At 38.9% G+C, this 16,094-nt stretch overlaps 1 protein-coding gene across 1 annotated transcript in view; it reads left to right on the forward strand.

The window, feature by feature from the left end:
- Positions 1 to 16,094, forward strand: part of ANKIB1 (ankyrin repeat and IBR domain containing 1) — a 155,410-nt gene that overhangs the window by 109,947 nt on the left and 29,369 nt on the right. Inside the window, exons 10-11 of the mRNA NM_019004.2 lie at positions 6,265 to 6,353; positions 15,557 to 15,687. Of these exons, the coding sequence (NP_061877.1) occupies positions 6,265 to 6,353; positions 15,557 to 15,687 (220 nt within the window). The remainder of the gene's footprint in view (positions 1 to 6,264; positions 6,354 to 15,556; positions 15,688 to 16,094) is intronic.

A 16,094-nucleotide genomic window follows, 5' to 3' on the forward strand; every position in this document is an offset into this window, starting at 1 on the left:
CTAGCGGTTGAGCATTTATTTACTGAAACTGTGCAAAAAAGTCTTTAAAAGGAACAAATTTTTGAATCATAGTGATGTACAACTTGAGAAACCACAGTATCAGGTTTCTAGTCCACTTAAGTTTCCAGTGGATCAGAGTACAATGTACAGACTTTTCAAGTTTGGAGAAAAGTCTGAAAGTGAGTACTTTTTTCTCCAACATTCACAATAAGGGTTTTGATCAATACCTACTTCTTTATTCAGAGCAGTAGTTGCATGCATCATCTCCCTCTGCACAGACCTCACAGGCCAAGGGACTCTCCTGGAATCCTCTGGACAAAATAGATGAAGCAATCTGTATGTGTAGACCTAATAATTGTGTCTCATCTTTTCTTACAAAACCAGTTTTAAGCCCTTAGATTAACAGCTCTAGTTATGGAAAAATAGATTTTTCTAGATTGGCAGTATCTAGCTATTTAAGTATCAGACTCCTGCCAACTAGCAAAACATTTTCCAGCTCTTCACAGGCCCAGAAATAAAAACATGATACTACTTATTTGGCAGTTCAATCATAAGACCTTATTTAAATATCATGTGTACTCTCTGCAGAGTAGCACATCTGCATAAATAAATGCCACTTGAGGGTTCAATTTATCAAATTTCAACACAGTACAGAGTTATAATAATCTGGGAGATACAGGACCTGCCTGTGAGACAGCTCTGCCACTAACTAGCTCTGTGGCTTGGTGATAAACATCCTCTCCTAAAATAATATGATAAAATAAAGCCTTCCTATCTGATGCAGTCAACATACAGTGCAAGTTCCAGAACCAAAAACTATTTAGCTTCAAATTTTAGCTTATCCACTCTTTACTTGTATGGCCTTTGATAGGTTACTGAACCTCTCTGTGCATGTAAAATGGGGATAAATAGTACCAGTTACAAAGAGATGTTAAGAGAATTAAGTGAGTCAGTACATGTGAAGTATTTAGAACATTGCTTGGTATCCTAAAAAATGTTAGCTAAAGGGGAGAATCATAAAAATGAAGATTTCTACTTAATTCACTCAGAATTGCTTATTAATAAAAAGTTCTAAAATGGCATTGAACTGAAATTGCCAACTTCTGGATATGAATTTCTTCCATCAAGTAATAAATTTTAAAACTTCAGTGGAAGGTTTTTTCCTTTTCCAGAGCCCTTTAGAACCACTGTATAGTCATGCAGCCAGTTGTACATACTGGCACATTTTCAAGAAGAGAGCCATTCCTTGATCACTTGATGTTAGGTTAACCAATCATATTTGAGCTACGTGGAGGAGTTTAGATTAGGCAACTATTTTTTTTTTCTTTATAATCTTTTACCAGGGTACTTTTTTACCTGAATAAACCCACCCTATTGGTGTCTCTGGCTGAGATTCAGTATGCTGTGTCCTGAGATTCCCCTCCCCATACTCTTGTTTTACTGACATTTTGAGATGCAGTTTCAGCAACAGATACCAGGGACTTTAGAATACTTGTCAACAGTCATTGGTTAAAATTTTATTCAGGAATTTAGGCCGGGCTCACTGGCTTACGGGTATAATCCCAGCATTTTGCAGGGCTGAGATGGGCGGATCCCTTGAGCCCAGGAATTCGAAACCAGCCTGGGCAACATGGTGAAACCCTGTCTCTACAAAAAATACAAAAATTAGCTGGGCATGGTGGTGCATACCTATTGTCCTGGCTACTTGGGAGGCTGAGGCAGTAGGATGGCTTGAGCTCAGGAGGTGGAAGCTGCAGTGAGCCAAGATCACGCCACTGCACTCCAGCCTGGGTGCCAGAGCAAGACTCTCTCAAAAAAAAAAAAAAAAAGAAAAAGAAAAAAAAACTTTCTTTAGTAAGTTGGCATTCTAGCATCTTCACTACTTTTCTCAAAATAACCTCTCTTCCCTACGTTGATCATCTAGATTGTCAATTAGTATGTTTAGTGGCATTGTTATTACTATACTTTGGAGAATTCTGAGTTTATTTTTCCAGATGCCGTAGTTTTTAAATATATTTTATAGTATTAAATGGCAACCTCGGCCAGGTGCAGTGGCTCACGCCTGTAATCCCAGCACTTTGGGAGGCCGAGGCGGGCATATCACAAGGTCAGGAGTTCAAGATCAGCCTGGCCAACATGGTGAAACCCCGTCTCTACTAAAAATACAAAAAATTAGCTGGGCATGGTGTTGTGCACCTGTAATCCCATCTACTCGGGAGGCTGAGGCAGGAGAATCACTTGAACCGAGGAGGCGGAGGTTACAGTGAGCAGAGATCGTGCCATTGCACTCCAGCCTGGGCCATAGAGCAAGACTCCGCCTCAAAAAAAAATGTGGCAACCTCAACCTCTTTAATTCACAGTCCATGCTGTTACTTCTTTTTTTATTTATAAGCTGCTGCTTTTTTTTATATCCTTTCTTAGTATTGCATTGGAAACTGTACCAACCAGTTATAACACCCTGAAGTGGTCCTGCTGATTGGGCTCACAACCAAGGAAGCAGCAAGTCTGTGTCCTCCTGTGAGGTTCTGGAAAAGAAAACCTTCTTTTGCTATTTAATACAACACAGTCTTGGAGAGCCAAGCACATTGATAAGCAATTACGGCTTTTGAAGAAGTGGCTTTTTTTTTTTTTCAGACTTTATTTGAAAACACTGGGCTTTGTTCCCCCATGATTCTTTTTTTTTTTCCCAGAACATTTTCAGAAAATGTTCTGACAGCAAAACCAGTATTTACCAGCGTTGATTCTGCCAGGAAATGGATATTGAATATGCTGTTTAATCTCCAGGGGAAAAAAGTCTCCAGGGAAAAAAATCTTCATAGAAATAATTTATTTCATTGATTGCATTTGTTTGTTTTAGTTACTGCAGATATATAAGGGCTTTTTGTACTTCTGGGCTTTTTTTTCTAGCTTTATTGAGATGCAAATGACAAACAAGCTTTTTTAAAAAATGAGTCATGAGAAATGTAGATTCTGCATTCCCACCTGTGTTTGCAGGCACCATATGGAAACACTGTTCCTAGATCTATGGCATATTTCTTACTCTGATGTCTGCTAGCATGTGCGCCAAATTAAAATTAACAGTTATCACAGGTATCCCTTACATTTCTGGAAAGCAGAATTGATGTTAATATGCACTAAAGTGAATCTAACGTATCCAGTTTTTTTTTCGTACTTAAGTTCTGTTGTACATGTGCAGAACATGCAGTTTTGTTACATAGGCATACACATGCCATGGTGGTTTGCTGCACCTATCAACCTGTCACCTACATTAGGTATTTCTTCTAATGCTATCCCTCTCCTAGCCCCCCATCCCCCAACAGGCCCCAGTGTGTGATGTTCCCCACCCTGTGTCCATGTGTTCTCCTTGTTCAACTCCCATTTGTGAGTGAGAACATGCATTGTTTGGTTTTCTGTTCTTGTGATAGTTTGCTGAGAATGATGGTTTCCAGCTTCATCCACATCCCTGCAAAGGCCGTGAACTCATCCTTTTTTATGGCTGCATGGTATTCCATGGTGTATATGTGCCACATTTTCTTAATCCAGTCTATCATTCGTGGACTTTTGGGTTGGTTCCAAGTCTTTGCTATTGTGAATAGTGCTGCAATAAACATATGTGTGTGTGTGTCTTTATAGCAGCATGATTTATAATCCTTTGGGTATATACCCAGTAATGGGATTGCTGGGTCAAATGGTATTTCTAGTTCTAGATCCTTGAGGAATCACCACAGTCTTCCACAATGGTTGAACTAATTTACACTCCCACCAACAGTGTAAAAGCGTTCCTATTTTTCCACATCCTCTCCAGCATCTGTTGTTTCCTGACTTTATATATCCACTTTTTTAAAGAGATTAGGTCATGCTGTGTTGCACAGGCTAGAGTGCCGTGGCTATTCACAGAGTGGTAATAGCACACTATAGCCTCGAACTCCTGGGCTCCATTGATTCTTCTGCCTCAGCCTCCCGAGTAGCCATTGTGCCCAGCTCACTTCCATATTTTAATCAACCCAATATTTTTTGAATGTCTGTTAAGCTACCACTAAGTTGCTAGGAGCTCTGTAAAACCACAATTATGGAAAAGATTTCCCAAGTGCCAGATTAGATGATAAGTCAGGAGTGTAAGGAAAGTAAATTACCCTTTCAAGGCAATTGGTGCATTTTTTTTTACCATGTAACCATTTTTAAGTATGCAATTCAGTGACATTAATTGCATTCACAGTGCAACTATAACATTTCATAACCACTTTTCATTTTCAGAACTTTTTCATTATCCCAAGCAGAAACTATAACCATTAAGCAGTAACTCCCCATCCTCTCCTCCCCCAAGCTGGTAACAACCACTCTACTTTCTTTCTCTATGAATTTGCCTATTCTAAATATTTAATGTAAGTGGAATTCTAGAATATTTGTACTTTTGTGTCTGGCTTATTTCACTTAACAAAATGTTTTTAAGGCTCATTCATAGTGTAGCATGTATCCAAATATTATTCCTTCTTATGGCTGAATATTCAATTGTGTGAACGTGTGTGTGTGTTTGTGTGTGTGTATACTGCACAATTTGTTTATCCATTCATCTGTTGATAGACACTTGGGTTGTTTCCCCCTTTTAGCTGTTGTGAATAATACTGTGAATGTTGGTGTACAAGTTTGAATCCTTGCTTTCAGTTCTCTCATACCTTAGAATGAAATTGCTGAATCATATGGTAATTCTAAGTTTAACTTTATGAGGAGTCACCAAACTATTTTTCACAGCAACTGCATCAGCATTTACATTTCTATCAGCAGTGCACAAGGGTTCCCATCTTTGCACATCCACACCAACAATTTATGTTTTTTAATAATCACCATTTTAACAAATATGAAGTATAATCGATGCATTCTTAATTTCCTCTTAGTTTTTAAGACTAAATGAGTCAGTTGGTGTGTCTTCTTAACACACATAACTTTTTTTTATTTTTTTTCCTCGAAATGGGGTCTTGCTCTGTTGCCTAGGCTGGACTGCAGTGGCATGATGTCAGCTCACTGCAGCCTCCACCTCCCAGACTCAAGTGATCCTCCTACCTCAGCCTCCCAAGTAGCTGGGACTACAGGCACGAGCCACCACTCCCTGCCCAAGCCTAACCTTTGTAAATAAAATCTTTTAAAATAGCACTGATGGTGATGATATCACTTCCAGATTGGGTTGTTCCCTCCTCCGAATAATATTTTTTTATTTACTGGAATAATTACCTTTGTCCTATACAATATAGCATCATCTTGAATTAAAATGGCAGTTCATCAAGGCTTTAGGCTCGTTTTAGTGTTTGACTTCTTAAATAGCTATGGAAAGAATATAAAATAGAGTTACAAATGGTAAATTGATGTTTTTAATTATTTAAATCAAAATTTCCCAAATTCCAATAAAAGTAAATTGAGTTACCCTAGCTGTTACCTGGAGATGCAGAGGTAAAAGTAACTACAGTAATTCAACTTAAAACAGTGTTTTTCAAACTTTAAAATGAAGAAGGTTCATTTGGTAATTTTGATAAAATATAGATTCTAATCTGTAAATCACATGGGGCCTGTTCTTCTGCATGTCTAAAAAGCTGCTCAGTAATGGCCAGGAATACACCTTTGAATAACAAGAATTTAAAATATTAATGAGGATAAAACGTAATTGATTCAAATGTTTTAAAGCTCTGAAGGCTTGCAAATCTAAGTTATAAATATTAATCTATTTAGAACTTTTCAAGTATGTAAATGAATGTACTGATTTTTTTTTTAATAAAACTGGTCTAATGGTATCAAGCTTTGGAATCTCATTTTTAGTGCCTCCATTGAAATGCTCCATCTCTCATTAGTCACCGTGCCTTACTTTTTTCAACTTTAAAATTGGAAGAATACTTTCTACTTTTTTTGTTTTTTTTTTTTAAATGGAGTTTCACTCTTGTTCCCCAGGCTGGAGTGCAATGGTGCAATCTCGGCTCACTGCAACCTCCACCTCCCAGGTTCAAGCGTTTCTCCTGCGTCAGCCTCCTGAGTAGCTGGGATTATAGGCATGTGCCACCACGCCCGACTAATTTTTTGTATTTTTAGTAGAGACGGGGTTTCACCATATTGGCCAGGCTGGTCTCGAACTCCTGACCTCAGGTGATCCACCCGCCTTGGCCTCCCAAAGTGCTGGGATTACAGGCATGAGCCACCACGCCCGGCCTCTACACACTTTTTTTACCTTGATGTTGATGAAGAATATTTTAAAATTGTCTTTTCTGTGTTTATTTTCTTTAGGGAGTGCCTTGGTGAAGCACATGAGCCTTGTGACTGCCAAACATGGAAGAATTGGCTGCAAAAAATAACCGAAATGAAACCAGAAGAACGTAAGAGGAATTTTAGATAGCTTTGCTGCATATTTCCTGATAGCATTCAAAAGATAATGTGGTCATATCTTTTTTAGTCTTTATTTAAGAGGTTTTCAGATTTGTTAATGCAAGTGCTCTCCTGTTTAACATCACAATCCCTTTGACTAACTTCCTTTTGGAGATAATAGAGTTTTGGCAAGGAGGAATCATGGACAAGTTCCATGTTTCTAACAGACTTACTTTCCAGCTGAAGTTAAACAGGGTAAATGGGGGTCCCATTTAATCCTCCTCCTATAGCCCTTTTCTTTTATCCTAGGGTGAGCCAACCAATTGTTCTGTACTTTGTGGAAGTAGTATATGATCTGTAATGAGAGTGAGCTTCTCATATCCCTGAAAGCTTCCAATGAAGGATGCAGCAAGTTAATTTCTTGCTGTTATGTGGTTCTATAGATTTACTGATGTTAAATACCATATAGACAAGTATTGTCACTGAGACTTCTGTAAATACATTATCTCTGTTAATCATCACAGAAATGATATGAGGTTGATGTTAGTAATCCTGTTTTACAGAGGAAAACTAATGCTTAGATTGGGTTGAATGACACAGGGCATGTGCCTTGTGAACAGAATGGGTTTGAATCTCTGAGGGGACTCCTTTTTAAAGCCTTCCTAATAGCAGTTCCCACATTTAACAGAGAAATCTATCTGCTTTGCAATAATTTCCCATCTTCTAAAGTGTTTTATGACAACTGTTTTCTCTCAAAAAATATAAGTGAAAATTAATTAGTTCTGGTCTTTAAAAAAAAAAAAAGACTTAGATAATGGTGTTAGCTTGAGATGTCACAAGTCACCCAATAAATCTACACTTATAGGGGCCGGGCGCAGGGGCTCACACCTGTAATCCCAGCACTTTGGGAGGCTGAGAGGCAGGCGGATCATGAGGTCAAGAGATGGAGACCATCCTGGCCAACATGGTGAAACCCCATCTCTACTAAAAATAAAAAAATTAGCTGGGCGTGGTGGCACGTGCCTGTAGTCCCAGCTACTTGGGAGGCTGAGGCAGGAGAATTGCTTGAACCCAGGAGGTGGAGATTGCAGTGAGGCAAGATTGCGCCACTGCACTCCAGCCTTGTGACAGAGCGAGACTCCGTCTCAAAAAAAGAAAAAAAAAATCCACACTTACATGAGCAAAGCACATAATAAAGATGATGCCAGACTTCAGGGCATGCAGAGGCTAGAGGGAAGCAGTCGGACATTGCGGTATCATATGATAACTGATATAGTTGAGTAAAGATGAGAGTACAGAAACAATGACAAACTCAGGTTGGGGGAAGAAAGGGTGTCAAAGAATCTTCTTGAAGGCAGTGAGCTATGAACTGGAGTTTAGCATCTCTGCCTCGTAGTAGGTAATTACTGTCAGCAACTGAAGTGGCATTGAGAGAGATGGCCTGGCGGCCATGATACTTTACAGGCTTGTATTATATCAGGGGATTTACCACTGCCTGAGGGCTGGTCCTCAGCATTTTAGATCTACGAGGGTCATTTTGTCCACTGACTCAGGGTTATTCTGACCCACGGAGAAGAGACTACCATATAAACCAAAATGCCACTTATTAGTTGATAATGAAAGAGATTCCTTTCACTTGTTGCGAAGGCTTCATGTCCATTATCAGGAGCAAAGAGAAGTGGATAATCTTTGGATATTTTATAGTGAAGCCTGATTAAACATTCTTGTCCTGTTCATGCACCGTTTAGTCAACAGATTTTTTAAGCCAGGCACAATGGCTCACATCTGTAATCCTAGCACTTTGGGAGGCCGAGGCAGGTGGATCACTTGAGGTCTGGAGTTCAAGACCATCTTGGCCAACATGGTGAAACCCAATCTCTACTAAAAATACAAAAATTAAATTAGTCCGGCATGGTGGTGTGCGCCTGTAATCCCAGCTACTCAGGAGGCTAAGGCAGGAGAATCGCTTGAACCCAGGAGGTGGAGGTTGCATTGAGCTGAATTGCCCCACTGCACTCTAGCCTGGATGCCAGAGCAAGACTCCATCTAAAAAAAAAAAAAAAAAAAAAAAAAAAAAGCCTTTATAGATTGTGTTTGTTCCCCAGATTCATTGTACTAGCCATTGCTCTTCATACCCACCCATTTCCCCTATTCTGATATGTATGGGTGTGTATATGTGTTTGTCTTCCATAAATAGATTCATACCATTACCCTGCAGCACCTTTAGATGTGACAAAACAATTGGAATTTGCTTTATTTTCTTGCTTCTGGCAGCTAGAAATATTTATATTTCTGTTATGAATGGCTTGCTATTGGCCACCTACCTGCATTTCTTTATATATTTCTTTAGAACTTAAGGTTAAGGTCCATGGGAGAAACTTGCTAGAGATGAGGCTAGAAAGGTAGGTGTTGCCAGATTGTGAGTGTTATTGCCAAATTGTTTGAATTTATCCTCCTAATAGAATAAGCCATAAAGTGTGTTATTTTAGTAGAGAAGTTGCAGTATCAGAAAAGTTATTTTTATCAAGATAACTGATGAGTATGAAGGGTGAATTGAAGAAAAGATAGACTAAAGGTAGGACGGTGAATTTTTAGTTTGGGTCGGAGGGTAAATTATGCCATTAGTGAAACAGGAAACTCAGATAAGCAAGTGACTTTCCGGGGAAAATAATGAGTTTTGGTGGTAGACATTCTGAACTTGAAGTACTTACAGAACATATGTGTGGAGATGTCCAGTGGAATTTTATAAGTGTTCATCTGAAACTCAGAAAAGATGCTAAGAAACTTAGGAATAAATTGTTAATTTTAAATGTTATCTTCATTATTTAATTAACGTTTATTGAGTGCTGTTTTATGTTAGAATACAGAAGTAAATGCCCTCTATGCTCTTGAAGTTTATATTTTAGAGAGGCAACTGTATACAAAACTAAGGAAAAATGTGTTATGAATGTGAGAGAACATTGTTCATGTATGTGATAACTTTTAGGGGAGGGGAAGGACAAAGAAAGAGGAGGCCAATTATCTATGGGAGAGGGTTAGGAAACACTTTATAAAAGAATTGATGCTCAAGCTGCATGTTGAAAGCTGATAGATGTCCTTCACATGAACCAGAATAGGAAAGACATTCCAGGCATAGAGTGAAGTGGCAATATGAAGTAGCGTGGCATATTCAAAGACTGCAAATAATTCATACAATCACTTTAGTGATGCATTGAGAGATGAGACTGTGCAGACAGGAGTCCAAATCAAGCATTGGGCACAAAGAGGTGGTTATGCACAATGCTAGGAAATCCTAGACACTGAAAAGGGGTTTTAAGTAGGAGAGTGATGAATGAAGATGCTTACTTACAAAGATCACTCAGGCAGAAGTATGGATGATAAAATGGAGATTATTGAGAAACTAGGTAAGAATGTTAGTTCTGAGACAACTTCAGAATGACCAGGTGAGAGGATATGAAGGCTTAAGATGGGTAATTCAGGTGGGAGGGGGCATATACAGGAGAGTTATAAGATATATTAAATAATCTTTTTTTTTTTTTTTTTTTTTTTTTTTTGAGACAGTCTCGCTCTGTCGCCCGGGCTGGAGTGCAGTGGTGCGATCTCGGCTCACTGCAAGCTCCGCCTCCCGGGTTCACTCTGTTCTCCTGCCCCAGCCTCCCGAGTAGCTGGGCTACAGGCACCTGCCACCATGCCCGGCTAATTTTTTGTATTTTTAGTAGAGACGGGGTTTCACCATGTTAGCCAGGATGGTCTTGATCTGACCTCGTGATCCGCCTGCCTCAGCCTCCCAAAGTGCTGGGATTACAGATTAAATAATCTTAAGTAGTAAATCTTGTGTGCCTGCTAGTTGCCTAAAAGATTTAATACACCATAAGAAGTAATTAGTCTAGCATATTATTCAATTCTTGAGTTGAAAATGCCCAGCAATATTTGAAATATAAAGCAAGTATTTTTCTTTTATTTTCCCCCAAACCCCCACCCCAGCCTCTGAGGCAAGTTAGCATCTCCACAGCTGTCTAGATCCTGGGTCCTGGGAGCTCGAGGTGAATACTCATCTCCTTGTGTGCACTAAGTGATACACTGGCCCTCTCAAAGTGCTACTATCCTGTGGCATCAAATGGCTTTGTATATCACTTTCCCAGTCTTTTATCCCCAAATTTGATCTATTACCCTGAAAGAACTGTTCATCTTTAAAGGTTCCAACTGTAAGAACAGATCACTTACTAGGTGACTGCTGATCATTCACTCAAGCAGTCTTAAACTATGGGTATGATCTTTTAGGTTTATATAGTCCTTCTCTGGTAGAACAAATCTCAGGTGTCTTCAGTCTTTTGTCTCCTATCATGTTTTCAAACATTCTTCCATCTTTCCAAATCAAAACCCCCTTTGGGGTTTCTTCCCACAATTCTTCAAGTTCATTATAATCTTCTGTTTTGCCTGTGGTCTAATTAGAGTAATACATCTCCCTACTTGCCCTTAATTCACAAATTACCCCGATTTTACAGAGGGAGATACCAAGGCCAAGAGAAACAAAAATGTCCTGCCACACAGCATATCCATCTCACATCTGGTATCAGAATGCAGAAAAACTCTTTAAAGCAAGTATTTTTAAATAGATGGCTATTTTTAGTTATCCCTTACCATATTAAAATTGGATGAATCATTCCATACCCACAGATAAGATTTTGCTAGGGAAGGGGAAGAAGAATGGCCTGGCTAGTGAGAACAGATTATGGGCGGGACTGTGAAAAAATGTCCTTCCTCATGATAATGATCCTGATACTAAGAGGAGGAAAGAAATAGAAAAGCTAGAAAATGGTATAGATGGTATATACATGGTTACTTCTAGGGAGATCCCAAAGGGGGTTTTGATTTGGAAAGATGGAAGAATGTTTGAAAACATGATAGGAGACAAAAGGCTGAAGACACCTGAGATTTGTTCTACCAGAGAAGGAACCAAGCCAAGGCTGCAGAGAAAGTCCCAGTTATTGTTAAGAAAAGCCTAGGAGTTTTCTCACTCTACTGATTTGTGTCCTCCACACTGAAAGATAGTGACCAGTAATGGCCACTTATGTTTATGAAATTTAGGGCGAGGATTAAAGTGAACAATAATTGGCCAACTATAATACTAAAGTAGAACCCCATCATTAAATATACAAAAATGATATTTCAAAAAGGAAAAGTGTGATTAGGTACTATTTTAGCTTCATGTATTTGGATCATAGCATTTTTACTTTGCATTTTATGCAAAAAAAAATGGCATAAGCATGTTTAACCAAATTTGTGTTTTCATGAAATAATTTTCTTCTTTATGCCCAGTTTTCCGAAGTCTTTGAATTATGAGACTCAGGATGAGAAAATCTAATTAATGAGAAAAAAGTATTAGAAAATATGCTGAAATCAATTCAAGGAATTAATTTCATATAAAGATTTAAATAGTGTTCGTTAAGCACTGAAATAGCCTCTGTTGTGTCTAATTAGAGCAAGAAGCAGGAATGGTTATATTTTTTATGAAATGATGGTTAATTTATAAATTTTTCAGACCAGTATTTTTCATGGGACATACTCAATAAACTGAGTTCAAATTGTATTATTTAAAAATTCAGTCTTTGACTAGGTGCAGTGGTTTACGCCTGTAATCCCAGCACTTTGGGAGGCCAAGGCAAGAGGATCACTTGACGCTCAGAGTTCAAGACAAGCCTGGGCAACACAGTGAGATCCCACCTCTCCAAAAAATAAAAAACTTAGCTAGGCATTGTGGCACATGCCTGTAGTCCTAGCTACTTGGGAAGCTGAGGTAGGAGGATCTCTTGAGCCCAGAAGTTGAAGGCTACAGTGAGCTATGATTGCACCACTGCATTCCAGTCTGGATAATAGAGTGAATCTCTATTTCTAAAAAAAATTAAAAATAAAAATTCAGTTTTTAAAAGCAACTGTTCACATGCATACATGTTGATTCTGTTAATAGATCTTGGATTTTCTGATACTCTAATACTTTATTATGAAGTTAATACGTTTTAGAAAGAGACCTAAGCACACTAGATTATTAAGAAAGAATAAGAGCTGTAACTGAAGTGAAGAGAAGAGTTTGAAAGTCAGTAGAGGTGAAAAAATCTCACCAGATAGATTGAAGGGAGATACGGTGTTGTTGGTGTTAAGAACAGTATGTATAAGCTGGATGCAGTGACTCATGCCTGTAATCCCAGTACTTGGAGAGGCCAACGCAGGCAGATCACTTCAGGTCAGGAGTTTGAGACCAGCCAAGTCAACATGGTGAAACCCCGTCTCTACTAAAAATACAAAAAAAAATTAGCCAGGTGTGGTGGCGGGCACCTGTAGTCCCAACTACTTGGGAGGTTGAGGCATGAGAATCACTTGAACCCAGGAGGCAGAGTTTGCAGTGAGCTGAGATCATGCCATTGCACTCCAGCCTGGGCGACAGTGCGAGACTCCGTCTCAAAAAAAAAAAAAATGTATGTATAAGGGACAGACGTATAGAATAAGCATGTTCAGAGAATAGGAAATAAAGGTATTTTTTCAAGCATGAGTTTTTATCATAGTAATAGTTGGTTATTCCCTGAACATGATTTACTTCATGCAGTTCACTAAAATGCAGTTAGGAGATCACATTCTCTCCAAGGGTGGAAGAAAAAACTGTTATGTTGCAGGCCACACTGCTGCTTTGTTTTAATGGCTTTGTGCTTTATTTATTATAACAATGGACAATAAGAGTCATAAGAATATGTTAGTGCCTCTGAGCTAACAATAATGTTGATGCTGAAAGAAGAAGAAAGGCCACTACTTTTAATAAAAATTAAATGTTTAAATGTGAAGTGTACTTAAATGATTAGGTATTATAGCAATACCCTTTGTAAGTGGAATTGCCTCCACAGCTTGGCCTTATTAGCCCTAAGTATACTAAGTTCCTTCTGAAACTCCTGTCACCCACCAAATTATCTGAGAATTCTTTCCACCAACACCTTAATCAAACCATCTTCTACCAAGTGTGTTCAGAACTGGAGTAAAGTCTGATCAGTTCATTACCGCTGTTTCTCTTTGCTGTGTGGAATTAAAAACCAATGCTTTTACAGTCCAACAGTAGCTGCTGTTCTGTTGTTAATATAAACTTAAGTAGGCAAGCACTTGGGGTTCCTTGCAGCAAGACAGCTCTACTTCTGTGCTGCTAGGCTCCAACAGAGGACTGCTTCTCTGCTTCTGGTGCTCAGCCCTTCCAATCCATACACAGAGCCACTTCCCAGGGGTCAGTGAGCCCAAACCTTTGTCCCCCTTACTTCCCCAGGGGCTTATATCTAGGGGTTGGGTAACTTTTCTTTTTGAATTTCAAACTGCAAGGGGTCTGATTTCTCTCCTGCTTTGACAGTAGAGCCAACCATTTACCCCACCACCCTTCTGAAAGTGACTGCATGTAAACAAAGCTTTGATTAGATGGGCCACTTTCAGTGATTCTAAAATGATTTTCTGGCATCTCTTTGAGTAAAGAAAATGTAGGCCTTCTCAGTGCACTTAGAGTTAAAAAAGAAAATAAAACAAAACCAACTTGATTGCTGACATTCTTGCAGGAAAAAAATTTTTAATCATGCATCTGGAACTCTCTAGCCCCTAACTCTGTCCATGGAAGGGAGAGGGAAGTTTATAAAATGTAAAATTTAGAATCTTTAAAAACCATGGCATTCCTTAAGATTGCAGATCTCAAATTATAGTAAAATAAGTTGAGTTTAAGAAAATGAAGAGTATAAGTTTGATTAGGGATGGAGGGTGAGAGGAGCTTGCCAGATGGGCCATATCATAATAGGCTTTATATTCTTTGCAAAAGCAATTGGATTTTATCTTGTAGTCAATGGGGAGCAAATTAAAAGATTTTAAGTGGTGTGTATTCTAAAAAGATCACTGTGGGATGGGTGGCTGGCAGGGGATGGGAGGATGAAGAAAAGTTGGGTAATGGGGGCCGGGCACGGTGGCTCACTCCTGTAATCCCAGCACTTTGGGAGGCCGAGGCGGGCGGATCACGAGGTCAGGAGATCGAGACCATCCTGGCTAACATGGTGAAACCCCATGTCTACTAAAAATACAAAAAATTAGCCAGGCGTGGTGGCAGGCGCCTATAGTCCCAGCTACTCGGGAGGCTGAGGCAGGAGAATGGCATGAACCCGGGAGGTGGAGCTTGCAGTGAGCCGAGATCGAGCCACTGCACTCCAGCCTGGGTGACAGAGCAAGACTCTTGTCTCAAAAAAAAAAAAAAAAAAAAAAAAAAAAAAAAGTTGGTTAATGGGGACAAACATAGAGTTAGATAGAGGACAATATTTCTTATATTTCAAAACAACTAGAAGGGAGGACTTGAAATGATACCAACACATAGAAATGATAATTACTCAAGGTGGTGGGTACTTCAGATGTCCTGACTTATTACACATTCTATGCACATTACAGTCACATCTACCCATAAATATGTAAAATATTTTGTGTCAATAAAAGAAAAACATGGAGAGATTTTTAAAAAATCACTGTGCCAGCAGTGTAGTTGGAGGTGGGCCCTTGAAGGAACTGGGGAGATAAGTTGGTTTTCTATGCTTTAATTGTCTAGGCAAGAGGTATGAAGGACCCTAGCTTAAAGCAATAAGAACTGGGAATGGAGAGGAACCAGATATGATAGAGAAAGAGGGTGTAATAAATGAGATGCTTAGTTTTAGATATGTCACATTGAATTAATTTTAAGCTTATCCAGAATAATCATGGATAAAAAAGATGTTGATATTTTTTGCTTTTTACTATGGTAAAGAGTTTCTGATCATTATATTTGCATCTGGCCTGTTAAGTAAATTATTTTCTAAAGTAATTGTTCTTTCTGTAATTTTCTGTGATACAATAGTTATTTTAAATGGAGTAATATGTTGCTTTTTTTTTTTTAAATTTTTTTGTGTATATTGTTTTTGATCCCAGTTTATTTGGGCACAAGTTTATGGAGAAATCGCCCTTAAACCAGGTTTCACGAATAGGTCTTTTGGAATAGAGTTCCTTATCTTAGGCTATTCAAAATGAAGCAGTTTAAAAGTGTTGCCACAGACCCTGATCAGAAAATAAATATTTTATTAAAATTGAGAGACAGCCTGCAAAGAAAAGTGTGGAGGGTTTTTTTTTCCCCCAGAAGTTGTACACTAAATCATTTATTTTTGTGATTGTGTTTAATATCCCAAAGTTGTGGGAGTTAGTGAAGCCTACGAGGATGCCGCCAATTGTCTCTGGTTATTAACTAACTCCAAGCCTTGTGCCAACTGTAAGTCTCCAATACAGAAGAATGAAGGCTGCAATCACATGCAGTGTGCTAAGGTAAGAAGTTAAAGAGGATTTTGCATGCTTTGCATTTGGAATCTTAATTTAGTTTGATTGTCAATCCAAAGGATAAATTATTTGAGGGGGCCTGGTGCAGTGGCTCTTGCCTATAATCCCAGCACTTCAGGAGGTTGAGGCAGGAGGATCACTTGAGGCCAGGGGTTCAAGACCAGCCTGGGCAAAACACCAAAACCCCATCTCTACAGAAATAAAAACAAAAACAAAAAGGTAAGTGTAAGAACCTATGGTATTCAACCAGAAGATCAGAAATTCATGAATCCTTCCTTGCTAGTCACCTTCCCCGCTAGTCACCTTCCCCAGTGAGAGTCTTGAGAGAGGGGTGTGTGTGTGTGTGTGTGTGTGTGTGTGTGTGTGTGTGTGTGTGTGTGTGTGTGTGTGTGTAT

The sequence above is a fragment of the Homo sapiens genome, chromosome 7 (assembly GCF_000001405.40).
Source record: "Homo sapiens chromosome 7, GRCh38.p14 Primary Assembly".
Taxonomy (NCBI): domain Eukaryota; kingdom Metazoa; phylum Chordata; class Mammalia; order Primates; family Hominidae; genus Homo; species Homo sapiens.